Here is a 26,333-nt window from a genome sequence, read left to right on the forward strand (position 1 = left end):
TGAGTCTCATGCTGTCCTTTCCACACTGGAGCACTGGTGTTGGGCCTAGAGTCATAAAATGTTTACATACAGCACTGCTCTGGATGGGTGGGTAGATGAATGGAGAGGTGAGTGGATAAACAGAATGGTGGGTGGGTGAGTAGATAAATGGATAGGTCGGTGGATGAATTGGATGGACAGAATGAATGTATAGATAATAGAGAGATGAACAGATGTCTGGATGGATGGGTGGATGAGGGTAAGTAGGCAAGTGGGTGAATAGATGTGTAGATAAGTAGATGGATAGTGGATGAATGAATAAATGGATATACAGATGGGCAGATGGATGGGTAGGTGAGTGGAGGGATAGATGAATGGACTGATGAATGGATGGATGAATGGAGAAGTTGGTAGGCAAGCGAGTAGGTGGACGGAAAGATGGGTAGATGGGTGGGTGGACAGATGGATCGATAGATGGATAAGCGTGTGGGTGGATGGATGGATGGACAAATGGATGAAGTGGGTAGGCAGGTGAATGGATGCATGGAAAGATGGGTAGGATGGATGGGTGAGTGGATGGATGAATGGGTGATAGGTAGATAGGTGGGGATGGATGGACTAGTCAGAAAAGTGGATGAATGACATCATAGGTAGATATCATCACCTATACAACTGAGTCAGAGAAACTTCTTCAGAGAAGCTGAGAAACTGAAGACACAGAACCAGCAAGTGGCAAAACAGGGTCAAGTCCCTGCCCTTGAATGTGGTTTGACCTCCACGAAGTGAGAAAACATGCCAGGAAGCTTGTTACCCACAGATTGGTTCTACCCTCGAGGCTGGTGTCCAGCATAGCTGAAGAGATGCACTAAGCCCTCTTTCCCTATCAGGGCTAAACACGAGGACAGATGACCAGACTCTGGAGCACCGCACCTCCAGGGACAGTCAGAAACCATGACCCGGGGTCCAGCTCACAGTTGGGATTGATCAATGGGATGCCAATGACTTCTAAATTCAGCTTTGGCAACAACCCCACAGCGCCCAGGCTTGGCAGTCATCCTCGTGTGTTCCTCAAAGAACCCCGACTATCTCCCTCCCTGCGGAGCAAACATCCCCACCTCCAACCTCCCCCAACATCCGACCCTGTCCCTTGCTCCCTTCACATGGTAGGAGTCCCTTTCTCTCAGAAGCCTCTTTGCTCCAGACCAAGGTGAACACAGCCCACCTGATCCCGCCACCTCCATACCCTATCACACCTGGTCAAACCTTCTCTACCCGCCCCAAAGCCCCATGGCTATGAGTTACTTGGGTGCGGGGGATTTTCTCAGCTCTGTACTTGGCACCCCCAGACTCTCATCAGCCTGAATGTCCCCTTAGGCCATGTTATCCTCGTGCACACCTGCCCATCAGATCTCTCCCATCACCCATTAAGGTGACGGGTCTCTTTATGTAACCCCAAGAAAGAACGTTTTGAAGGTGGAAATTGTCTGTGGAATGCAGGAAGGAATAAGGGAATAAGAATTAGACCAACAGAGTGTGTATTTCGTCTGTCCATCTTCAATCCCGATGTGTGCAGTGGGAGACTGCGAGGTCCCCAGGGACTGGGACTCAGTCTTGCTTTTCTACCAGTTGGGTGAATGAACGAGGACAAATGATTAAGCATTTCTCCCTTACTCTCTCACTTGAAGAAAATGGATGAATACTTGTCCTTTGACCTCTCAAAGTCATAAAAGTATAAAATGAAATGCGAGCATGCATTTATAGTTTTAGAAATACACGCAAGGGGCCTGGCGCGATGGCTCATGCCTGTAGTCCCTGCACTTTGGAAGGCTGAGGTGGGAGGATCACTTGGGCCCAGGACCAGGTGTTCAAGACCAACCTGGGCAACATGGCAAAATCCCATCTCTATTTAAACAAACAAACAAAAAAGAAATAAAAGAAAATGTGTATGTGAATCATACCACAAAGCCCCTTCATTCCAAATTCTTTCTGCAGGAGCCGCGTGCATCTCAGGGGATACTCTCTTCCCAGGAGCCAGGGAAAGGACATCCCTCGACCTGCTGGGCACACGGGGAGCAGCGCTGGCCTTTCCGGGCCCCCTTGTGGGAGGGAAGCATTCCGACCTGCCCCCTCTGCAGGCACTGTCAGTCCAAGCTGGCAGCCACCAACAGGCATTTTAATCAGGCCCAGGTTAGTAAATCCTGCCACTTCCCTGAGGGTTTTAACCCTGCAGTTGGAAGGTCATGTTTAACAGCAAGACCTACTATTATGCCTCTGTTTCCATGTGAAAATAAATGAGTCCCACACCTAGTAATGGTTTTGCTCCTCCAGTCTGTCCTCTTAAAAATGGGTCGTGAAGGACTAATGCTTTTAAAACACTATAAAACAAGGTCTGTAATGGCTCTGATGCCTCAAAAGTGTATTAAGATGAAAATTTATGTTTTCCTACACCACATGGCATTGAAATACAAGCTCTAAAATAAGAGGCAGAATTATTGTGTGTTCTGACAAAAAATCCCCAGCCCTACCTGCACCTGAACTTGCATCAAAACATGATTTCCATCAAAATTCCCATCAAAAGTCTTATTTGGTATAAAGCAGTCTTTTTGGGTTAATTTTTTTTTTAAACCATGCAAACATCCATGTCAGAGTTAATTGCACTGAGTTGGCCTCCTCTACGAGCCAGTTAACTCTGTAGCTCAGGGCCTGGGGTTTGTTTCTTTGACTCCTCTGGGCAGGTGCAAATATAGCAACCTACAGTTGCCTCTGCAGGCTGCAGGGTTTGTGCCTTGAGACAATCCCAGCAGATGCTGACCTCAGGCCACAAAAGAAAGGCAGGGAATAAGCCAGACCTCAGGGAGCTCAGAGCTAGACAATAAATAAGCACAGGAATAAATGAGTGATCCAACTGGGAGGAGAACCAAAAGAACAAAGCAGAGATGTGATCAGTTAGAAGAGGAGCAGAGCCCAATTTGGATAGGGTGGTCTCGGAATAGTGGGACACAGGTGCAGCCAAAATGCAGAGAGCAGGGGGCAGGGGCAAAAAAAAAAAAGTGAAAACCTGGGAAGGATCCTGTCGCACTGGGTCTCCCAGGCCAGGGGGAATCTGGTGTGGAGCCCAACCTGGATGGACTCCATGAGGTGACACCTCTCCCCACGATGCGGCTGTCTCTGTTTCAGCTGATCTAAGCACCAGACACTGAACTGATGGCACACCTGCCCAGTGCCCAGGTGCCAGCTCCCCGAACACAGCCTGACCTCATCCCAGTTCATCCAGATTCCTGCTGCAAACCTGCTGCGATTAAGTGTCTCAGGGGGAGGGTGTGTGACACAATCTGATTTATGGTCTTTGTTGAAAGATCCCTCTTCGAGCTCCTGGGGTGGAGACTGGGTTGTAGGTGAAAGGAGTAGAATGTGGAGCCTGGCTGGGAAGCTACTACACTGGTCTGTGTAGTCTCTGGAATGGGCTTGAGTAGAGACAATGGAAATGGAAAGAAGTGCAATACGTCAGTTGGTATTTGGAGCCTGGACTGGACTGGCTGATGGACAGGACTAGACTGGCTGATGGACTGGACTGGCTGATAGACTGGACTGGCTGATGGACATGACTGGACTGGCTGATGGACTGGACGGGCTGATGGACTGGACTGCTGATGGACTGGACTGGCTGATGGACTGGACTGGACTGGCTGATGGACTGGACTGGCTGATAGACTGGACTGGCTGATGGACAGGACTGTGGATGATACTCAGGCTTCCGGCTTGAGTGGATCATGAACAAAGAGGGAAATCTATGTGCTTGGGGTGGGGGTGGGGAGCTTGGTTTTGGACACATTGCACATTTTGGATCCTTTGGGATTCCCCCACGGGAGTAGTCAACTGGGCAGCAGGACACAGTCTAGAGTCTAGTAAACTGGAGGTAAGAATTTGGGAGGAGGAGACATGGGTGTGGGGCTGATTTTGCTGAAGTGCCCGTCTTGGGGCTCTTGGTCTCAGCAGGAGACAAGCCGCCTTACCTCAGTGATTCAGGGACTCAGGGACATGGGCTAAAAGGTGTGAGCTGGTGGGCAGGGCAGAGGCTGCTCCGCAGGACTTACGGAGCAGGGGTAGCATCCATCTTAGATGGCAGGGATCAAGGGGTTTTTATACCTGGGTAGGTCTAGAGAAACCGTGAACACTGTCACATTCCAGGGACAAATCTCAAAAATAATTTGTAGGCCAGACAGCAGGTGAGAGAGGTCCCTGGTCAGGAGGGGTTGGCCTGGGTTGAGTGGCCCACTGGTGTGGGCTCCATGAGGTGACACCTCTCCCCATGACATGGCTGTCTCTGTTTCAGCTGATCTAAGCACCAGAACCTGAGCTGATGGCACAACTGCCCAGTGCCCAGATGCCGGCTCCCCGAACACAGCCCGACCTCATCCTGGTTCATCCAGTGCTGGCCCTGTCTGGACGAGCCCCAAGCATCCTCTGCTCGGTGCCCTGGGACGCCTGTGAACTCCTGGCCACGGCTATGTGGTGGAAGACACGGATTCTGTGGGGGGTTTTCCTTATCTCTAGGACTCGCCCACCTGCTCCCATGCAAATCCTCATTTTAACTCTGGATCCCAGTGAAGGTACAATTTAGAGTCTAAAATAACTCAGGCTGGTGCAAACGGAGCTTTGCTAGGCCTGGTGCCTCCTTTCAGTCAACATCTGGTCCACTCTCTCTGGCATCCTGGGCTGGGGGTATGGGGAAGAGGCACTGGCACCCCGTTTCGGCCTCTTTATTTGGAGATGAGATCTTTACAGCTACAGAGAGTCTTTAAAGTGGAGTCACTCAGGTAGGTCCTCATCCAACAGGAGAGGTGTGTTGTAAGAAGAGGAAACCTGGACAGACAGGAAGAAACCGAGTGAGGATGACGACAGCCACCTGCAAGCCAGGAGGAGAGGCCTCAGGAGAAACCAGCCCTGGGACACCCTAATCACAGGCGTCCGCCCCCACAACGGTGAGAGAATGTTTCTGATAAAACCACCCAGTTTTTGATACTTTCTTATGGCAGCCCCAGCAAACAAAAACTGGCTCCATGGCCTCCCCTGTCCTGGCCCCTCAGTCTCTACGACCTGGGCACCTTGCAAGCACAAGAAAGGGACCCTCCAGTTCGGGGTGCCCACACACCTTGCTTTCTTCCTTGAGCTCTGGTCACCAAGGAGGCAAAGGGGAGAGAGGCTTCCAAGGGGCCCATCATTTGGAAAGGGAAAACCAGCTTCTGTTGCCGTGGCAACTCCACTGGGATGCTCTGCTATTTGCACATTTTGAAATTGGAGGTGGGTAGTGAGAAGGGAAAAAGGAAAGAAAAATTGAGGGAGATGAGAGTATCCAGGGCAAAAGAAAGGAGAGAAAAGCAAATGAAGTTTAGGAAAAATCCAGCTTCGGACAGGTGACCCTGACAGTGCTTAATGACCTCAGATGAGTCCCAGGGCCGCGGGGACTTCCCCATTAAGTCATGGTGGCTCCAGCCAATGTCAGCCCAGGTCCCCCACTGTCAGAGAGGAAACAGAGGCTCGAAGATGAGAAGTGCCCTGCACAAGGTCACCTTGTGACTTGGAGGATTCTCCAGGTAAAAGCAGCCGTATTGGGGGAAGGCCTCTATTCTTGTAATGAACCAAACGTTTGTGCCAACCCCCCAAATTCATATGTTGAAGTCCTAACTCCCAACGTGATGGTTTTATGAGGTGGGGTCTTTGGGAGGTAAGCAAGTCATAAGTGTAGAACCTTCATAAATAGGATTAATGTCCTTATAAAAGGGACCCCCAGGACCTGGATATGGTGGTGTGAACCTGCAATCCCAGTGCTTTGGGAGGCTGAGGTGGGAGGATCCCTTGAGGCCACAAGTTTGAGACCAGCCTGGGCAACATGGCAAGACCCCATCTATACAGAAAATACAAAAATTAGCCAGGTATGGTGGTGCACACCTGTAGTCCCAGCTACTTGGGAGGCTGAGGTGGGAGGATGGCTTGAGCCCAGGAGTTTGAGGCTGCAGTGAGCCATGATTGCACCACTGCACTCCAGCCTGGAAAACGGAGTGAGAGTGTCTTAAAGAAAAAGGGGCCCTAGAGAGTTCTCTGGTACCCTGGTTTCAGACTTCTAGCCTCCAGAATGGTGAGAAATAAATATGTATTTTTTACGAGCCATCTAGTTCATGGTACTTTGCTGCAGTGGCCTGAGCGGGCTAAGACCTTCCTCCTTGGAGATCCCATGGAGTGGGGTTCAAGGGGTCCTTATGATACCCGTGAGAGGATTTGAGTCAGACCTGCATCCCACCACAGGCTCTAAGGAGAGACTCAACTTCTAGGGTCTGGCTGGCAGACTTCTCTCACTGGACAAACCATTCTAGAGAAAAGCAAAGATGCTGCAGAACTAGGCGACGTCTAAATTTAGCCTCACAAAGAATCTAGAGCACAGGAGCAGGGAAATACTATTCTGAAGGGACAAGGAGAAGAATACAATGGGCCCAGGAGGCTGAATTCACCACGAGTAAGGGCACGCGGGGGGTGTCTGAGAAAGTGCAGAAGTCAGGTGCCGGAATGGCCAGGCTGAGATGCAGCTGCGCGTGCCTCATTCCCCAACCGCCCATTGGATGGAGGTGTGCCTCAGGGTGGGGTGGGGTGGCCGGGCAGGCTCAGCAGCAGAGGGTGGGGCCACAAGCATCCATCTCCAAAATTGCTCTTGAGTCTGCTAGCAAGGAGCCACAGGACACTGCCTCGCACCGCCTTCTGATGTAGCTGGACAAGAAGTGTGTTCTTCTTCCAGCATTGAATCAGATCCTGTCTCTCAAAATGAGCCTCAGATAGATAGATTCATTCATTCATTCACTCACTCACTAATTCCTTCACTCACCCTGCAGAAACCAAGCACCTGCCTTGTGCTAGGTACTGCTCTACCCAAGCATCAAGGAATATGCCCACAGTGCTGCCCTTCCTCAACTTCAAATACCTGGCTTTCTTGGGTCGTGGCCCCTCCCTGGCAGTCCCACCCTCGGGCACTGCTCCCCTGGGCCCTCTCCTCCCTGGTGCTTTCTGCAGTTTCTTAGTGGGGGGCTGCCTGGCTGTTCTCCAGGGTCCATGGCCTGTCCAGCATCTTGGTCACCAATTCCGCGCGCAGATGCCTCTGTCGGAAAGGCCTAGGGTGGTCTCCACTTTCTGGATTAGACTCTCACCCCCAGGCCACCAGGGAGCGGTCTGCTGCAGTCTACACCCTCCTGGTGAGACTTAGGCTCCATCCAGACAGCACCACCGAGTGGCTCCCCTGCCATCAGAAGGCAGGGGCAGAGAGTGCAGCTCAGAGGAGCCACAGCCCATCGCACCCCGCGGCACCAAATGGGGGGAACCATTTGGGAGGGATCTAGTCACAGAAAATGGAAGTTGGGAACCGAGACTCATTTTTGAGAGAAATGGTCAAAAGAGCCACACCCGGCTAATTAGGATTCTGAGAACGAGATGCTGCTGAAACAAGAAGGGAACAGATAAGACCAAGAAACATCCCAGACCTAACATTTGGCTACAAAGAAGGAGTCCAAGTGTTCTTTTGTGTTGATGTTCCGGAAACTCAAAATTGCACTTTGCTGCAGACGTCAGTAACTCTAGCACCAAGGGTTCACGGAGCTTGCATTTGGGAATCCGAGGAGAGCAATTTACAAGGAGTAAGGATAAAATCTAAAGTCCTATCTCAGTAGGAATGACTTTTCTTATCAGTTCACGCAGGGGCCCGGAGACACACAAGTCAACAAATAGGAGATTTTTGTGATTTCTAAAGGTCCACTTTTGCTGGAGTTTTCCTATGTCTACCCGGCAAATTTTCATCTCCCCATTTCCCTAAGGAAACATTTCTTAAGGGGTGACCTAGAGGCAGCCACTCTCTGCCCGCACATGGACTCAGCAGGAGCTTCATGACGGCCCTCGCTGGTCTTGAGAGCATCTCTAGGTAACACAGGAGGACAGATCAACAACCACACCAGCCTCTGCCTTCACTCCCTCGCTGTGGCTCTCACCCCAGCAGACAAGGCCTGGGGCTGACATTCCATGAAGCCAGGAGCCAAACGAATGATATGCCGTGGACACCACCATGGACAGCACAGAAGGGAAACAGGACCTCGTAGCCCAGAGGGATTTGAATCCAATTCGGTGTATTTAAAAAAAAAAAAAAAAAAGAGAGAGAGAATGAGGTCCCTTGGGGTAGTGGATCCCCACTCTGACTCTCTCAAGTTCTAGAATACGAAGGTGCCATCCTGAGGTCAGCTGTCTCCTATCCGGGTAGGGGTAGGTGGAGGGTGCTGGTGGAAGGACGCTCTTGTCCGAGTCCTCAGTAAATCCTGAACACAGGGGAGGACCAATGAGGAGAGTGCACACGTCTTGGCTCCACACGGGCAGCAGGGCCGAGAGCAGGTCCGGAGGCCAAGGATCAGGCCAGGACTCCACCAACGGAGGACGAGAGGCAAGAGCCGCTGTTAACAGCAAACAGCTATGTCCACTGCTGGGGAGTACGGCATGCGCATGAGGGCTGAGGGGTGGGGCAGGACGGGCCAAAGCTGCCTGAGCCAGGGATGCCTTCACAACCTCGCTGCCCCAGCCAGAAAAGTCTGCCCAGGCCACCGGCTCGTGAATGTGGGGTCAGCTCAGCCATGTTCCCTCTTGAGAATCGACGCTATAGATTTGTATTCATTACCCACTGAATTCAGAGCCAGCCAGACATCCACGTCTCACCCCAATAAAAGCTTTAACATTTACCCAGCGGCACAGAGTCATTATTCTGTGACAATATTCCACTGCTGACCTTTATTGCCTAGGACTCTCTGTGAAGTTTCCAAGGAAGCATTTCAGCGTTCAGCACACAGGACCCAGGTCCACCGCCTCCACTGCTCCTGCACCGGCCGGCCCCCGCCTCCCGCCCATCCATCTCTGGGCTGTTTGCCTCTGTCTGGACTTCATGTACTGACAGTGTGTTTGCTACCACTTAATTCCATCACTGACTGTGCCTCCCTCTAAATTGATCAGTGTCAATTCTGGGCAAATAATTGGGTGGAATTACCAGCGGGTCCACCCGTGCTGATTATGCAAATAATGTACGCCGTCACCAAGGGCCCGGCGCTGGCAGTAAGTGTCTAAACTCCTTAGCATTTGACAGCATAATTGAAGACACAAATATGAAGCCTAATGAAGAGTTTCTTTTCTCGAGGAAGACTCCCTCGTTCTCACTTTCAATGGCTTGGCCCAGAGGGTGCAGGTGAAGAAGGTGGGTCGCATAGACACAGAGGCTGAGGGGGTCGGCATACGGACACCTGTCCACGGACATGGGGCGGTGTGATCTGCTCTTGGACAACCCCAGGGTCATAACCTGTGCCTGCTATGATAAGCCTGGTCAAGCTGGATAAACTCCCAGGCCTCGGTTTCTCCATGTGTAAAATGGAAATAATACTATAATAAACAATGACAACAGTCAAGAGTCCCTCTACCACCACTGCTACTAGCTGGGCACGAGGCTATTGACTATTATTTATCCCTGTGATACAGAGGAGGCAACTGTGGCACAGAGAGGTTAAGTAACTTGTCCAAAGTCACACAGCCTGTGAAGGGCAGAGTCAAGACACAAGCCAAGAAGGTGGGTTCCAGAGTCCAGGCTCAGCCTATGGACTGAGCTGGGCCATGTCCACATCTTACACAGTCAGCCTCACACCCCACGGGGGCAGCCCAGGGCCCCACCCACACAGGGAGCACAGTCACTGGAGCTGCCACGGCCAGTCCTAAGTCCCATCCGGGAAAGGGCTCTGGCACGGAAAGCCCTGTTTGGACACAACATGCGGCCTCCTCATCCTCACCCATTCTCTTCCACAAACCTGCCCAATTCTCACCCAGGGTGCCAAAGTCCAGAGGATGTTGGGGGAGGGCGTCCTGCAGTTAGAAGCCACATCCAGGTGGGCGCTGAGTGCTAGAGGCTGAACTGTGTCACCTGCAAAATTCATGTGACGCAGGCTTCACCCCCAGGATATCAGCATGTGTGCGACTGTATAGGGAGATGGGCTTTAAAGAGGCAACTAAATTAAAGTGAGGCCAGATGGGGCAGGTCCTAAATCCAATCCAACTGGCGTCCTTACAAGAAGAGATCAGGACACAGACATACAGAGGGATGACCCCATGAGGATACAGGGAGAAGGCAAAGTCTACAAGCCAAGGAGAGAGGTCTCCGGAGGAACCAGTCCAGAGACCCCTTGATCTCAGCCTTCCAGCCTCCAAAACGGTGAGACGATAAATGACTTGTGTAAGCCTCCCTGTCTGTGGTGCTTTATGACGGCAGCTGGAGCAAACTCATACACCATAGATCCCGACAATCTGTCCTAGAGGCCTCCAGACCAGCAGGTTTCAGAGGGAGGACAATGTATCGGTCCACAGGCCACAGAATGCTTGGGATGCACCGATCGGCACGTTATTAAACCCACTGGGACCAACAGAACTCCACACATCCCATACCAGAGTGATTAATGCTTCCAATCTCAGCCTGTGCTGTAGGAGGCTTTCATATTTCACGGCAAAGTTGTGCAGACCAGTTGGTTCATGGCAGGCTGTCTGTCCCACCTTGCTGCCTATGGCCTCTCCACCAAGCCAGGCTCGGGTATGGAGCTCCTGACCGTCCACAGCACTCTGTCTGCTCTGTGTCCTGGGCTAGAAACCTGATAACCAGCAGATACTTCCTTGGGTTGGGCACCCTGGGCTCGGTGACCACCGTGTCATCTTGGCATGTCCCCATCATCTCCTTGATTGTCCTCCCCCAGACAGGGGGCTCGACGGGGAGTCCATGGTGGTGTTGTTGGAAGATGGGATGAGAACTGACACTGTGGTCACTTACTGCCGCACTGGGTGCTCAGTCGCCGCTGGGTCAGTGCAGGGACCTCACCACCAATTATGTGAATGCCTCCCCTCTGCCTGAAGCTCCCCAGGCTCTGCCTTCTCACACACCCAGAAACCCTCACAAAAGTCCACAAGAGTGTCCCCCCAAATCCATGTCCACCCAGAACCTACGAATGGGGCCTTAACTGGAAATGGGTCATTGCCTCCTTGCAGATGTGATCAGTGAGGTTGCGACGAGGTAATACTGGATTAGGGAGGGTCCTAAATCCAATAATTAGTGTCCTTATAAAGAGAGTGTGGCCCAGGGCACTATGGAAGAGGTTTGAGGATGAGCACAGCAGCAGAATCTGAGTGCTGGAGGCTCACCCAGGCAGAGTGTGCTCCACTTCGTTCCAGGGGACTGAGAGAAATGAACCCGGGGTGAGACCCAGAGCCGTCCCCTCCTGCAGTCCATCTGGGCCAAAATGAGAGCCCAACCAGTGGGGAGGGAGGGGCAGATTCAGGAAATAGAAAAAGTGGAAGGGGCTGGTTCTGGACAGATGGGAAAAGGGCAGGTGAGCGCCAGGAAAGATCTAGGAAGGTTTTTGGGTTTTCAGTTCCTGGGCCATAACTGAGATGGGGTGCCCAGGAGGAAGGGCCAGCTGGCCAGGAAAGATGGGGTATGTTCACTGGAGCTCCTGTAACCACAGCCTGGGTGACTGAAACCACAGGGATGAATTGTCTCATGGTTCTGGAGGTTGGAAGTCTGAGGTCAAGGTGTTGGCAGTGGGGGGGTTCACACTGGGGACTGCAGGGAGACTCTGTTCCAGGCCTGTCTCTCCAGCTCCCAGTGGCCTGTAGGCAATCTTTGGCATTCCTTGACTGACAGAAGCATCACCCAGAGCTCTGCCTTCATCTTTGTGTGAGGTTTGCTCCGAGTGCATGGCTGTGGCCACATTTCATTCATTCATTCATTCATTTATTTATTTGAGATGGAGTCTTGCTGTGTCGCCCAGGCTGGAGTGCAGTGGCACGATCTCGGCTCACTGCAGCCTCCGCCCACACAGATTCAAGTGATTCTCCTGCCTCAGCCACCCAAGTAGCTGGGACTACAGGCACCCGCCACCACGCCCGGCTAATCTTTGTATTTTTAGTAGAGACGGGGTTTCACCATGTTGGCCAGGCTGGTCTCGAACTCCTGACTTCAGGTGATCCATCCGCCTCAGCCTCCCAAAGTGCTGGGATTATAAGCATGAGCCACTGCACCCGGTCCCATTTCCTCTTTTTATAAGAATATCAGTCCTACTGGATTAGGGCCCAATCTAATGACCTCATTTTCAGCTGATGACTTCTGTAAAGACCCTACCTCTAAACAAGGTCACACTCTGAGATCCTCAGGGTGATACTTCAACATATGCATTTGCAGGGACACACTTCAAAGGGGAGTCAGGGGTCTGGGCTCGCCTGGTGGCAGGCTCTGCAGGAGATGAGTCTGAGGGTCCAAGAGGAGGTCCAGGGAGCGCTCTGCAAGCCACCAGCCCCGAAGATCACTGGCACCATAGGAGCAGGGCAGGATGGGCGGGGGTGGGGAGCAGAGAGCAGAGCAAGGGCAACCACAGAACCTGGGGCCACACCACCTTCTGAGATGAGCCACATAGCCTGGCACTGAGCCTCCTTCACGTGCTGAGGCCACATCTGTGTGCCATGGAGCCTGTGAGCCCCTGGAGGGAGAGGCTGTGCCTGGGACCCTGCGGATTCCCCAACACATTTGCTGAACAAGCAGGGCAGGGAGAGAAAGGAAAGTGAGGTCGAGACAAATATTATAAATATGACCATATCCCTGATGGAGAAGAAAGTCAAGAAAGAGTTCATGTTGAAAGGCAACACGGGCCAGACACACCTGGTACTCAGGGGCCCTGCAGGGTTTTACAGCAAACTGTGGCCACATGGGGGCTGGGAGGGGACAGCCAGGAAAGAGGCACAGTCCCCATCTGAATTTGACTGAGAGACTCTTTGAAGCCGTCTGAGATTTCCATATACGATTTCTATTAATATTTAAGGCAAGACGCATCCCATCCTCCATAACAACACCGTCTTGAAAGAAGCCTTTGAACTACTTGAAAGGTAAACCCAGCATTATTCTTGGATTAAGAACTCTTGTTCATTCAACAAATACAGCCCCACGACGACATCCCTGAACACCAGAGCCAGAGGTGCCTTGGCATGTGCACGCTGCCTGCTTCTGCAGCAGTAGGATGATGCGTGTGTGGCCTGTTACGTCACACCGCCAGTGGGTCTGGGCAGTGTCCCATTGCCAATTGCGGGAGGAGTCCTTCAGGGCACGGATGAATAATCATGCTAAGTAGGATAAATAAAAACTATAAATAGCCTCAAATCAGTTCAGGTCAAGTACTACTGCCAACGAGCTACGGAGAAGGCATTCGCTTTTCAGATCTTTTTGCAGATCCACATTGAAGGTAGGGAACTCTGTCTTTACTCCTGAGAGCTCGTGTTGGAAGGTACTCATGAGTGAAGACAGAGTTCCCTACCTTCAAGTTTACAGAGGAGACGGGGTGCACAGTGGAAAGGAGGGGAAAAAAACCCCACACGCATGAAGAGGAAAGACAAGTAGGATGCAGGCTTGGAGGTGGAGGCTCGGCGGGACGGGGAGAAAAAAGGACAAGACCCTTCCCTAGAAGCGCTTGGTGGACACAGTGGGTGCAAACGACCAAGTGGCTGGATGGAGGGAAGAGAGACCCTCAGATGGAGGGAATAGGGGGCCCCCATACAGAGGGGCCCCCCACAGACCAGAGTCAGGGGCACACAGGTCCGTGAGCTACGTGGAATGAGAGATGGGTCCCTGGACCACATTACTTCCGGCTCCCTGGTGTATCTCCTCCACGTTCTGGCCACCTGCGGGTCCCTGTTTTCCTCCACACTGACCACTTGAAAACTGATGGGTGGCAATTTTCACCCCTCATTGTCCTAAGGGTCGTGGGGGCTGCTTTGCTTGGTGCTGGAGTCTGGGGCCACAGTGGAACATGGCATTGATTGCTAAGAGGAAGGGACCCCACGATGCCCTGTAGAGCCCAGCTCCTCGGGGCAGGAGGAGCACATATCCACTGTCTGCCCTCTCCCCACACTCATGACCTCCACCTCCCCCAGCCCCAAACATTACAAAAGCTAAAGACATCCTGGGCACCTGTGAGAAAGGAAGAGCGGAGGTAGTTCCCACGTCCATCCTGGTGCCTCTGCCTCCCGGGTGGCGACCCTCAGGAAGGTGAAACCTGCAGCTTGGGCCCTGCAGTTTATAGAATGATATGTTTGTGGTTCCCTAAAACAAAGAGCCGTTGCCACAGCAACCGTGGCATCCCAGCACTCAGAGGCTATTCTCAGACACTAAACAATGAGTTTTGCCTTTCAAATGCATTTGATACAATTTGCTTGGAAGGCATTAACATCCTCTGACAAAACCCATGAGGAAGAGGAGGGCAGGTGAGAGCTGACAAGGTCGAGACTTGCAGGGCTTCCAGGAATCACACCCATTCATGAGACAGGAGGGCCCAACGGCCCCAGACACTTTCAATAGGCAAACAGGAAATGGGAAACAGCAGAGGGGAGGCAGGCAGGATCCCTAACCTTCCAACAGCAGTTCCGTGGAGGAGGAGGGGCTGCCCAGAGGTGAGGCAGTTGGGATCCCTAACCTTCTAGCAGTGGTCCCATGAAGGAGGAGCGGCTGCCACACACCCTTTCGGGGCTTCTTCAGGAGAGACGTTCCACAGTCCCATCTGGGGCAGTTCTCTTCTTCAGGGTCACTGCAAAGATGGCAGCACAGGCCAGAGCCCGCAGCAACCACTTAATCCACCCTGCTCACTCTGCAAAGGACATTGAGTGCGTCCCCTGCTCACAGCCAGCCATTGCTTCCTCCATTTACCATTTTTTTTTTTTTTGCCAGTTCATGAACAACTTTGCTATTGTTTACAACGATCTCATGGGATTAGAATACCAAACAGTGATGCCAGTGAGAAGACCAAATAACCTTCATTCCTAGCACCAGCCTCCTGTCACTAGCACGCTGGGCAAGCTGCCCTCAAAAACAGCTCCCGGGCGTCAGTGACAGGAACACGTGTCATCAGGAAAAAGGCATGATGTAGGCAGGCTGGGGGCAGCATCCCAATGCAAAGTACATTTTTGAACAGACTAAAGAACATGTGAACAGTACACAGAAATTCCTCCATCTAGCCATCTATCCATCTACCTATAGATCCATCCATTCATCCATCCATCCATCTTATCTATCAATCCATCTATCTAATCTATCCTATCTATCCATATCCATCTATCCATATCTATCTAATCTATCTACCTACCTACCTAATCTGTCCATCCATCCATCCATATCTATATACTCCATCTATCTATCCATTCACCCATCCAGCTATCCCTCTAATCTAATCTAATCCAATCTAATCTAATCTAATCTATCTAATCTATCTAATCTATTTATATGTAATCTATCTATCTATCCATGATTTATCTATCTATCTAATCTATCTATTGAGACAGGGTCTCTGTTACACACACTGGAGTGCACTGGCCCAGCCGTAGCTCACTGTAGCCTACAACTCCTGAACTCAAGCAACCCTCCTGCCTCAGCCTCCTGAGAAGCTGGAACTACAGGCACATGCCCTTCCTCTGTATGGCAAAATTATTTTCATTAACAGTCATGTAATAACCATCATTTTATTGATTTGTGCATCAGTTTTAAAACCAAATATTTTGAAAGAATGAATGTCAATTTTAAAGGTATTATCCAAATCCAATAAAATAGTTCATGTAAGCATTGAAATCTGCATATCTGCATTTACTAAAAAAAAAAAAAAAAAAAAAAAATTCCACCTTGTAGTTCACATCCACTGCCGTTTCAAATTTTAAACACAGATGAAAACTCCGAGTGGCTACCTAGAATGACAGCACTGAAGGAACACGAGTTCACTTTGTCTTTATAGTTACTGTGCCCTCATGTCTGTTTCAAATCTACCGTGTAATAGCAGGAATGGTGATCACAGGGCATGGAGACCAGGCCATTCCGGACCCTGCAGACTTCACTCCAGTCAAAAGGCTGTAGCTAAGCCCACTCATGCCTGAGAACCACATGTAACTATAACAGGCTTCCCCAAGTTAATGTTCATACAGAATATGGTATTCACTAAAGGATACATTATAAAAAGATGCTAATTTGAAGTTCACAGATACATTTCAACAGCAACTGTAGCAATTGCTTAGATCTTAGACCAACGATTGGGGGAAGGAGTATTTTATCATTGGCAATTTTTAGAACGGGGGGACATGGTGATCATTAAAAGGGAAGGGACATTTAGCTGGCTTTATTGTTATTTGGAATTCTCTCCAGATGAAGCAATAGAAGTGCCCTCCTGTTGCGTGTACCTGGGGCAGACAGCGTCACTCACTCCGCCCCCAGTAGAGCTCTGCTTTCGGAACATGATGATAAAGCATTAATATTGCATGTTTGGTGAAACCCCGTCTCTACTAAAAATACAAAAAAAAAATTAGCCAGGCGTGGTGGCAGGCGCCTGTAGTCCCAGCTACTCAGGAGGCTGAGGCAGGAGAAAGGCGTGAACCCGGGAGTGGAGGTTGCAGTGAGCCGAGATTGCGCCACTGCACTCCAGCCTGGGAGACAGAGTGAGACTCCGTCTCAAACAACAACAACAACAACAACAACAACAACAACAACAAATATTGCATGTCTGGGAGCTGGGCATGGTGACTCACGCCTGCAATCCCAACACTTTGGGAGGCCAAGGCAAGTGGATCACTTGACCCTAGGAGACCAGCCTGGGAAACACAGTGAAAGCCCCGTCTCTACAAAAATATAAAAATTAGCTGGGTGTGGTGACGCATACCTGTGGTCCCAGCTACTTGGGGGGCTGAAGTGGGAGGATTATTTGAGCCCTGGGAGGTCGAGACCGCAGTTGGCGGTGAATGCACTGCTGCACACCAGCTGGGGTGACAGAGTGAGACACTGTTTCAAAAAAAAAAAAAAAAAGAGGCTGGTCACAGTGGCTCATGCCTGTAATCCAAGCACTTTGGGAGCCCGAGGTGGGCAGATCACCTGAGGTTGGGAGTTTGAGACCAGCCTGACCAACATGGAGAAACCCCGTCTCTACTAAAAATACAGAATTAGCCAGGTGTGGTGGTGCATGCCTGTAATCCCAGCTACTTGGGAGGCTGAGGCAGGAGAATCACTTGAACCCGGGAGGTGGAGGTTGCAGTGAGCCGAGATCACACCATTGCACTCCAGCCTGGGCAACAAGAGTGAAACTCCATCTCAAAAAAAAATTATATATACATATATACACACACGTATATACATAATATACACACATGTATATACATAATACACACACACACATATAGACACACACACACACACACACACACACACACACACTTGGCTGGGTGCGGTGGCTCACGCCTGTAATCCCAGCACTTTGGGAGGCCGAGGCGGGCAGATCACGAGGTCAGGAGAGGAGACCATCCTGGCTAACACGGTGAAACCTCATCTCTACTAAAAATACAAAAAATTAGCTGGGCGTGGTATCGGGCACCTATAGTCCCAGCTACTCGGGAGGCTGAGGCAGGAAGATGGCATGAACCCGGGAGGCAGAGCTTGCAGTGAGCCAAGGTCACGCCACTGCACTCCAGCCTGGGTGATGAGTGAGACTCCGCCTCAAAAAAAAGAAAAAAAAAGAAAAAAATTATACACACACACACACACACACACGCACACACACACATGCATACACATGCATATATTGCATGTTGATTCATTAACGGGGAAGCTGAGGTTCAGAGGAGTGTTTCATCCATGTGGGCTGCAGCAGGTGACAACACTTCTAGGGTCTGTGCAAGTGAAGGCAGGAAATAACAGGGCTGCTGCTGAGCGCAGAGTCGAGTCTCGTGAAATGCTCTGAGCAACGGTGGGGTAGGGGATGTTCCATCAGAAGGGGCCAGCATGCTGAGGCAGAGCGCCCTGTCTAGTGGCCACTCCAATACTCTGGTCCCGTGACTGCCTCTCAGCCTGGGCCATCTGGACACTGGCCAACAAAGGGCCTCACCACCTGGACCTTGGAGAATTCCACAAGGGACTGAGACCCGGTGAGATTCTAACAGCTGGAACACACACATGGCCCTGGTGAGAAAGGAGTAACTATTGCTTCCTGTCCCAGCCACACAATTTCCTCCCATCTCTTCCTCACTGATATTTTTATTTCTCTTCAGGACACAGAAAAAGAATACGGATAATTTATAACTAAAGGAGCAACAATGGTGTTCTGAATTATTTTCCCCTCTTTTTGGAACGCATCAACATGTAATTTGTGCCCCGCTCGCTGGATAACTCTGAGAGCAGGCAGGTGTTCCGAGGGCCCCAGCCAGGGTCAGGGCCAGGAGGCCTGGGCAGAGCCCTCACCCTATGCCGATGGCCAGCCTGTGACCTCACATAAGCCAAGAGGCTTCCTGGGCCGGATTTCTATAGTAACCGGCCACTGGGTCTGCCGGCATACGTCGCCTGACTTTCTGCTGTTCTATTCTTTGGCAGAACACCCTTCCCCTGCCTGCTGGCTGCCTGGAACTGAATGAAGCCACCGTGATTTCAGGGAGAGATCCCGGCTCCTGCCCTCCCCACCAGCTTCAGCAGAACTCTGCCCTCTTGGGTCATGCATTTCCTTTCCTTACTTCACCAGCTCTGGTTGTACACATCCGAGACTCCCCAGGACTCTACCAAGGGCCTGATAGAGGGGATAGAACATGAACACCTTTGGCCACTGTGATTGGTTCAAGGATGGTTGATACCCAAAGCCATGTCATTGGCTGGACTCCTGAAGCTCTGGCCAGAGCAACAAGGAGTAAGAAGCTTACTTACTCAAGGAGTAAGGCTGAGGCCAAGCAGAGGGAAGCCAAATATAGACACGGATAGACGGGCACATTCTATAAATATTCCCTGCGGAGAAAGTGGCTGTTTCTCTCCTGCACCAGGAAAGAACAGGTCTGAATAGTCAGCAATTGACTCAACAAATATTTGTCAAGCACCTACCAGGTGGCAGAAGCCATATTGGTTGGGTGTGCTGGGGAAAAGAGAAGACGTTAACACCTGCCTTTGTGCAGCGTGAGTCCGGCGAAGAATGCAGAGAAGCAGGAGGGAGAGTCAGCGGTTCTGAGAATGGCTCAGCCGCCATTGACTTGGCCTCAGGAGCAGGGCACTGGGGGTCCCAGACACAGGAAGGAAGGTGTCGCCTTTATGGCCTTCGCTCTGTGGATGAAGTCAGCACTGCAGAAGGCTGCCCCATCCACATCTCTCTTACAAAACCAAGCCGCAGCTCCCTCCTGCTGAGCTGGGATGCAGATGAATATTCATGGAGAACTGGGAATTGGGAGTTGATGACCAAGTCATTCCAAAGGCAGGACCCTGGGAGGACCTCGACAAGGTCTAGACCCTAACACTGGGCCACACCTCTCAATGCAGCCCTAACTTCCCCTCCACATAGAAGGGAGAAAATTCGGAACAAACATACAGGGCATCATCACACGGGAATTCCCCATCCTGCTTTCTGGAGCAATTTACCATATTAATTGGCTGTGGCTGATGCTCAGAAATCATGGAAAGCCACGTTTCAACCCACAGGAACCCAGGGACCTCCCTCGGGCTGCATGGTGGGTTTGGACCCTGCCTATTAAGCCAATGGTCTTGCCCAACTCAGGGCACCACCATGACGGCCTTCCTCGGGGGTGGTCTTGGACAGGGGACTGGCAGAGGACTGGAATGGGATCTGTTCTTATTTTTCAGCCTCTACTTGATAAATGAGTCCATGAGTTTGCCATGAGAGGTGAACTTCCTCCTGCTCCATCAAAAGGGACCCTGACAAGCTCTCTGCTGCGCTACCCAGGGCTCAAAGCAGCTCCCTTCCCACTAACTCCTACGAGCTTGTTCCAGGGTCATGAATGAATGCTGAACGATTTTGGAGAAGGATCTGGTCTAAGGCCAGGAATGAGGCTGCTCCCTGCCCTCACCTCCAGCTCCAGCCAGACTCTCTGCCCCTCCAGGTCATGTGACTTCTCCTTTACCATCTCTCCCCCAGGGGACATCCTGAAGTCTGGTCCTGGGGAAGGAAAATGTTTCCTGAGGCTACGTATCTTCCTGAAGCTGCCCCCATCTTGGTGGACTCCTTGGTCAGGGCAGCCCATGTGCCCGGTGGTCCTAAGGACGAGGGTATACTGATGCCTCCATCTGGCACCTGGATCCACGGAGAATTGGGGACCAGAATCCCATGAACTGCTGCTGCTTCATTAGCTGTTTAATGTGTCCCTTCTGGCTTGGCTAAAAGCAACAGCACTTAGGTACATATGCGTACAAGTTCTTCCTTTTCTGTCTGAAGCCTCCATAACGTCTTTTCACTTATGCTTATTAGAACCAGAATTAGAAACCTTTCCTCTGTGCAATTTAATTCTACCCAGCATATTCTTATGAGGCTCCGATATTTGAAATCCCAAAAGGCACTTCAAGAAAGGACTCTCGATTCTCTGTCTGAATTCGGGCTCAGCTCAAAAGAGGGTCTCAAATGCAGGGAGTGGTGAGGGAGAGAGGTTGTTATCTGTGGTGGCTTCTGAGGCTCAGAGAGGTGCCGTGGCTGGTCCAAGACCACACGGAAAATTCCGGATTGGAACCCTCGTCCCTCTGGGATTTGGTCAAACGCTTTTTCTTCAGCTCCAATACCCAGGTGCTTTTGCATATTAACAAAAATTAAGATCTCTGTGACTATTTCCTGACTCCAATGCCAGTGGCTAGAAATTCAGGGGTTGAATCCCTTGCCCCAAAGGCCATGCGGGGCCCCCCTCCCAGGCTTATGGAGGATCGATGGGCTCTGACAGCAGGACACCGGCGGTGGGACCCTCTCTCCTGGCACCAGCTGAATGGGGCCTCGGCTGGCTTCCTGCAGTTGCTTCCAGGCCTGGAGAGCCAGGGACTCCCCAGGGAAGGGCACAAGCAAGGAGTCAGGGAAAGCGGAGTCCACAGGGATCCCAGGCCTCTCCCAGGAATGGTGACAGAGCTTCCTGGCTTTTGAGGGTAGCCAGATGTTTCTCCGAGTTTCAGGACCCTGCTGTTGCAACTGTGCTGTGCTGTGGCCCACTCAGTGGTAGATGCTGTGCAGCTCTCCAGTGCGAGGCCCAGGGGCCGGTGCTGTGCCTGCCAGGGCTCCAAGCTCCCCGGCTAGCCTTGGGATAGTTAGCCCAGGCACCCCAATGTCTATCCCGAGCTCACCTGCTAGCCTGGGCATAGATAACCTGGGCAGCCTGATGTCTACTCTGAGCTTCCTGGTTAGCCTGGGTATAAACAGCACATGCACCCTGATGTCTATGAAGCCAGCCATAACTCTAAATGTGAAAAGGCAGGTGCACTAATCGGGCATCCTGGTCGAAAGAAGGGCTGTGGTCAGCTGGGGAGGAGACCGGGCTTCGGGGGCTGCTGGAAGAGTCTACGAAGAAAGTTGGGGAGATGGATGGAGGTGCGCTGAGAAAAGGAACACCCTGAACAGAGGACTGAAAGATGGGGCAGGGACAGCTCCTGCCTGTGAGCTGCCTGGAAGGGGCTTGGAAAAGAGAAAGCCGGAGAGGCAGGTGGAGCCATTCAGAATTAGGAGCTTCTGAGACTTCCATTCAAGTCACCTGGAAGCGGGCATGCCCCCTCTGTGAGGCCAGGGGCATGTGCCCATGGAACACAGAAGTCAAGACTCTTCTCTGCTCCTCGCCCACCCCTGGGCTTGTGCCCTATGCTGGGATGGGGAGACCCTGGGCTGGGGCTGGGGAACACGATGTCTGCTCCCATCAGTCTGTGTACCCTCACCAGAACCTCTGCCCCACTGACGCATAGATTTTCCCTCCATAGAACAAGGAGGACTGAAGGGGCTAGGGTCCCAGCTGCCACCTGTGGATAGGCATCCTGAGAGGATAGAGCTCCCAGGGCCATCAGCCACATTTGCTCAGGTGCAGAATCTCCAAGGGGGATTTCTCGCTGGGTCTGTGAGTCATGAGACTAAGCAGGGGTTGCCAAGATTCCCAGGACCCTTTCACATTCTGAGTCTGTGTTCCCTGGGGTCACCAACTTTTGGGCATCCCAACCCTGAACGACAATTACTTCTGGAAGCACCTTGAGAGTCTTTCTTTTTGTTAATAGAAACAGAATCTCTGTCTGTCATCCAGGCTGAAGCAAAGTGGCCCGATCATAGCTCATTGCAGCCTTGAACTACCAGGCTCAAGCCATCTTCCCATTTCAGCCTCCTGAGTGGTTGGGATTACAGGCCTGCACCACCACGCTTGGCTAATTATTTTATTTTCTAAAATTTTTGTAGAGATGAAGTCTCACCATCTCACCCAGGCTGGTCTTGAACTCCTGGGCTCAAGCAATCCTCCAGTTTCGGCCTCCCAAAGTACAGGGATTACAGGTGCGAGCCACCTTGCCTGGCCAAGAGTCTTTCTACAGCTTCACCATGAAGCAGGTGGGTGAATCAGGGGTACAAGATAGACACAAATCTTAAAACAATGGCTAATGGGGTTGGTTACAGTGTCTTATGTCTGTAATTCCTGCACTTTGTGAGACTGAGGTAGAAGGATGACTTGAGCTCAGGAGTTTAAGACTAGCCTGAACAATACAGGGAGACCCTGTCTCAATAATAATAATATTAATAATAATATTAATAATAATAATAATAATAATAATAGTAAACTCCAGGGGGCTTGGATTGTCCTCTTCTGGGTAGATCCCAATAATCTTTCTCCCCAGGTGGATGGGTGAGCACAGAGTTCTAGAATTCCAGAGCTCTTTTGAGTATACTAGATCCTTTGGCTTTAATTTTATTTTTTTTTAAGAGACCAGGTTTTGCTCTGTTGCCCAGGCTACAGTGCCGTGGCCCCATCATGGCTGTGGCTGCTCACTGCAGCCTCAAACTCCCAGGCTCAAGTGATGCTCCCACCTCAGCCTCCTGCACCCAGCAAATTATTTATTTATTTTTTGTAGAGATAGGGTCTTGCTAAGTTGCCCAGGCTGGTCTCAAACTCCTGGCCTCAAAGGATCCTCCCAGCCCAGCCTCCCAAAGTCTTGGGATTATAGGTGTGAGCCACCACACCCAGCCTGGATCCTTAAATTCACTTGCAGGAAGGGAACCCTTGCTAGAGAGGCGGAAAACATCAGTGTGAATTCCCCAAGCCCCCAGGGGGACACACTGAGGACCAGGGTTAAAGGGTGACTCACTGGCATGATGCTGGCAGGTGAGACAAACAGCATGGAGGAGGAGGAGGAGGGAGGGAGTGGGGAAAGGGAAGGAATGAGCAAGGGAGAAGGAAGTGGAGGAGAGAAGAACGGGTGGCTCTGCTCGGCCCATTCACCAAGTGTTTCCAGGCCTGGTGAGCTCCGGGGTGGGACGGGAGAGGGGCCACTGCAGTGTGGAAGGCAGGCAGAAAGGCCCCTGGGCTGTGCCTGTAGCTAGGAGCTGGGAACCAGTTCTATAGCCTACAAGCAAGGGATTTAATACATATCTCAGAGTGATGGGGAAATTGATTTTCCTTGATAAAATGGCCCAGTGAAAAAGATCATGACAGAAGCTGCCAAGGATTCCTTACCTTGGCAGTATCTGGTCACTGCTGCAGGCTGACATGTGACCTTGTCATTAATAGGTCACAGAACAGGAGCAGGGGCCAGCTGGGCTAGTCTGTGCAGAAGCAGGCTTAGGTCAGAGGTAGGGCAGACCCCAAAACTTGCTTGCAAAATCAGCCAGGAGCACAGGGGTGAGGGGTGGCGGTGCAGGGAGAGGACGGTGATCCCCACGGCTTTGCTAAAAGGCGGCAGTGGCTTATCCTCATGTCCACAGGAAAGGCCACCTCTGTGCCATCTGTCCACGCTGGCCCAGCATCTGCGAGCACAGGAAGCCAAGCGGCTGGCCTGGTCCTCCAGGAGGGCAGAACTGTGTGGATTTTGCAGGAGTGAGGGGAGGTCCTGAGGAAACAGCTGCAGGTGAACAGCAAACTGCAGGGCAGGCAGGAGGCAGGTGGAGGTGAGGGCGGGCTTGCCTGCGGCCTGTGGGAGGGGAGGGCAGGAGCCAGGGTCCCAGAGGTCAAGGTGGCAGAGAGAGAAGCAGTGTTATGGGCAGCCTTAGCAGGAGTGAAGGGGCGGCTCCGGAGTCAGGGCTGTCGGTTCCAGCCCCAGCTGCATCCCCACCCTGGGGACCCTTGTCAAGTGTCTGGGCTCCAGGATCCTCATCCTCCTGCGCCGAAAACGGGGCAGTGAAGGCGCCTCCCTAACAGGGCTGTCATTAGGATTGAGCACTGAGCACTGAGCCCAGGCCTGGCTCTGAAAGGGCTGAAGGCACAGGAGCTATTTTTGCTGCTCAGATCAAGGCAGCAGTTGCCTCCTCCTCTGGGAAGCCATCCTGACTCTATGCCCCATTGGGATTTAGCACCCCCTAATGCTGGCCTCAGCCTTCCCACCCTGATACCTACGGCAGGTATAACATAAATGTCCTCCATCTGTAGGAAACCAACAGCCAAAAGTCCAGCTCCTCAGCTATGGCACAAAGTCCTGGTCCACCTGACCCCTGGACCTGGTGCAGGGCTTCCATGTGGAGAAATGACATGGGCAGGGACAATCCAGAACCTGACCCGAGCAGGCAGGACCAGACCAAGAGAACAAAGGGGGCTGGGAAAGGGGGCAGAGGCCACACAGGACTCCGGGAGCCCACCTGAGAGGGTGTGCTGCGGTGTGGAGCAGGACAGAGCAAAACTAGGGGGCCCGGGAAAGCCCCCAGGGTGCACCTCACCACCCTCCTGGACCCACGCCGGAGGCACAGAGAAGGGGTGGGCAAGACCACGTGGAAACAAGACCCGGCCTCCACCTGGGCTAGGACATGTGCCCTGAAAGCCAGGCAGGGCTGGGGAGGCCCAGGCAAGGGGAGAAGGCGCTGAGGATGCTGGCAGGGCACGGAGGGAACACCTTACAAGAGGGGACCAGGAAGGAGGAATCTGCCTTGGTCATGACCTTGGTGGTCTTCAGCCCTCTGCAGGAGTCAGAGCTGAGGAACCAGAGGCCAACCTGCTGGGCCAGAGTCCTCGGTCTCAGAAGGGTAGGAACAGAGATCTGCAGGGAGCCAGGAGCAGGGGTGGGTGGCGCTCAGGGGCAAGGGAGGAACTTTCTGGGAGAATGGATGCAGAGAGCAAGAGGAGAATGCACCAGCCCATGCTTGGCTCAGGCCAGTGCACCAGGGCACACCCTGTGAATGCCCGAGTAGTGTTTCCCACCAGGCTGGCATCCACCCCACCAGAGAGGGCTCGGGGCTGTGATAATAACGGGGTCAGGGGGTGCTTCTCACACGTGGTGGGCAGGGGCCAGACAGGCTAAAGTCCTGCAATGCGTGGAACGGGCCCCTAGGGATTGTGAGTGACCTACCAGATGTTCAGACAAATGCAAAATCTGTTTATCTGCACAACCTCCTGCGTGTTACTTAGAAACACCACACAAATCTGCACAGCTTTAATACTCCCCGAATTTTCCAGGAATGCAATGAAAGACAGCATGGGCTTTGTTTGGTTTGGAACTTTCCTAAGAGCTGTTGACTATTTTGGAAGCCAGCCCTGCCTTGGACCACACCCGACCCATGGCTGAGCATCTCCCAGCTGCTGGAGGAGCTCTGGGGTTCATGGTGACCGGATTGGAAGGGAATGACCATTGAAACTGCACTGGGTCTTCTGGGACAGACCTCTCCCTGCCTACGGTGTCCGGTCCCCCCCACCGAGTGTTCCTGCTTCATAGAACAGTGTTCCTGCTTTGTAGAACACGATGGGTATCTTTTCTTTTCTTTCTTTTTTTGAGACGAAGTCTCGTTCTTGTTGCCCAGGCTGGAGTGCAATGGCGCGATTTCGGCTCACTGCAACCTCCGCCTCCCAGGTTCAAGCGATTCTCCTGCCTCACCCTCCCGAGTAGCTGGGATTACAGGCACGTGCCACCATGCCTGGCTAATTTTTGTATTTTTAGTAGAGATGGGGTTTCACCATGTTGGCCAGGCTGGTCTTGAACTCCTGACCTCAGGCGATCCACCCACCTCAGCCTACCAAAGTGCTGGGATTACAGGCGTGAGACACTGCGCCCAGCCAGGGGTCTTTTCTAAATTCCACGTGTATGTCAGGGTATGTTATCTAAGAGTTTCATTTGAGGATAATGAAGGAGATGTTATACAACACTTTTTCTAAGAGAACTGGGGTCTCGTGTGGTTGGGAACCAGGGAACAAAGTCATCTCCCGTAAGTGCCCTGGGAGCGCTGTATAGAGGGGAACCGCGCAGGGACCGCATGGTGAGGGTCAGGCTAGGGCACAGTGGAGACTCTCTGAGCTTCTGCCCTTCCGTGGGGGATGGAGTGGGAAAGGCTCTTCTCTAAGGG

General features: G+C 52.0%; 1 protein-coding gene, 1 long non-coding RNA gene and 1 other non-coding gene across 22 annotated transcripts in view; 1 reads left to right on the forward strand and 2 right to left on the reverse strand.

The window, feature by feature from the left end:
• SHANK2 (SH3 and multiple ankyrin repeat domains 2) overlaps window positions 1-26,333 on the reverse strand; it is a 785,381-nt gene that overhangs the window by 391,119 nt on the left and 367,929 nt on the right. The window lies entirely within an intron of this gene.
• On the forward strand, window positions 3,818-6,143 carry SHANK2-AS3 (SHANK2 antisense RNA 3). The gene is made up of 3 exons (NR_073536.1): window positions 3,818-3,895; window positions 4,313-4,589; window positions 4,816-6,143. It is a non-coding gene; the product is annotated as an SHANK2 antisense RNA 3 (long non-coding RNA).
• MIR3664 (microRNA 3664) lies at window positions 13,298-13,396 on the reverse strand. Its single transcript, NR_037437.1, has one exon. It is a non-coding gene; the product is annotated as a microRNA 3664 (primary transcript).

Source organism: Homo sapiens, chromosome 11 (assembly GCF_000001405.40).
Source record: "Homo sapiens chromosome 11, GRCh38.p14 Primary Assembly".
Taxonomy (NCBI): Eukaryota; Metazoa; Chordata; class Mammalia; order Primates; family Hominidae; genus Homo; species Homo sapiens.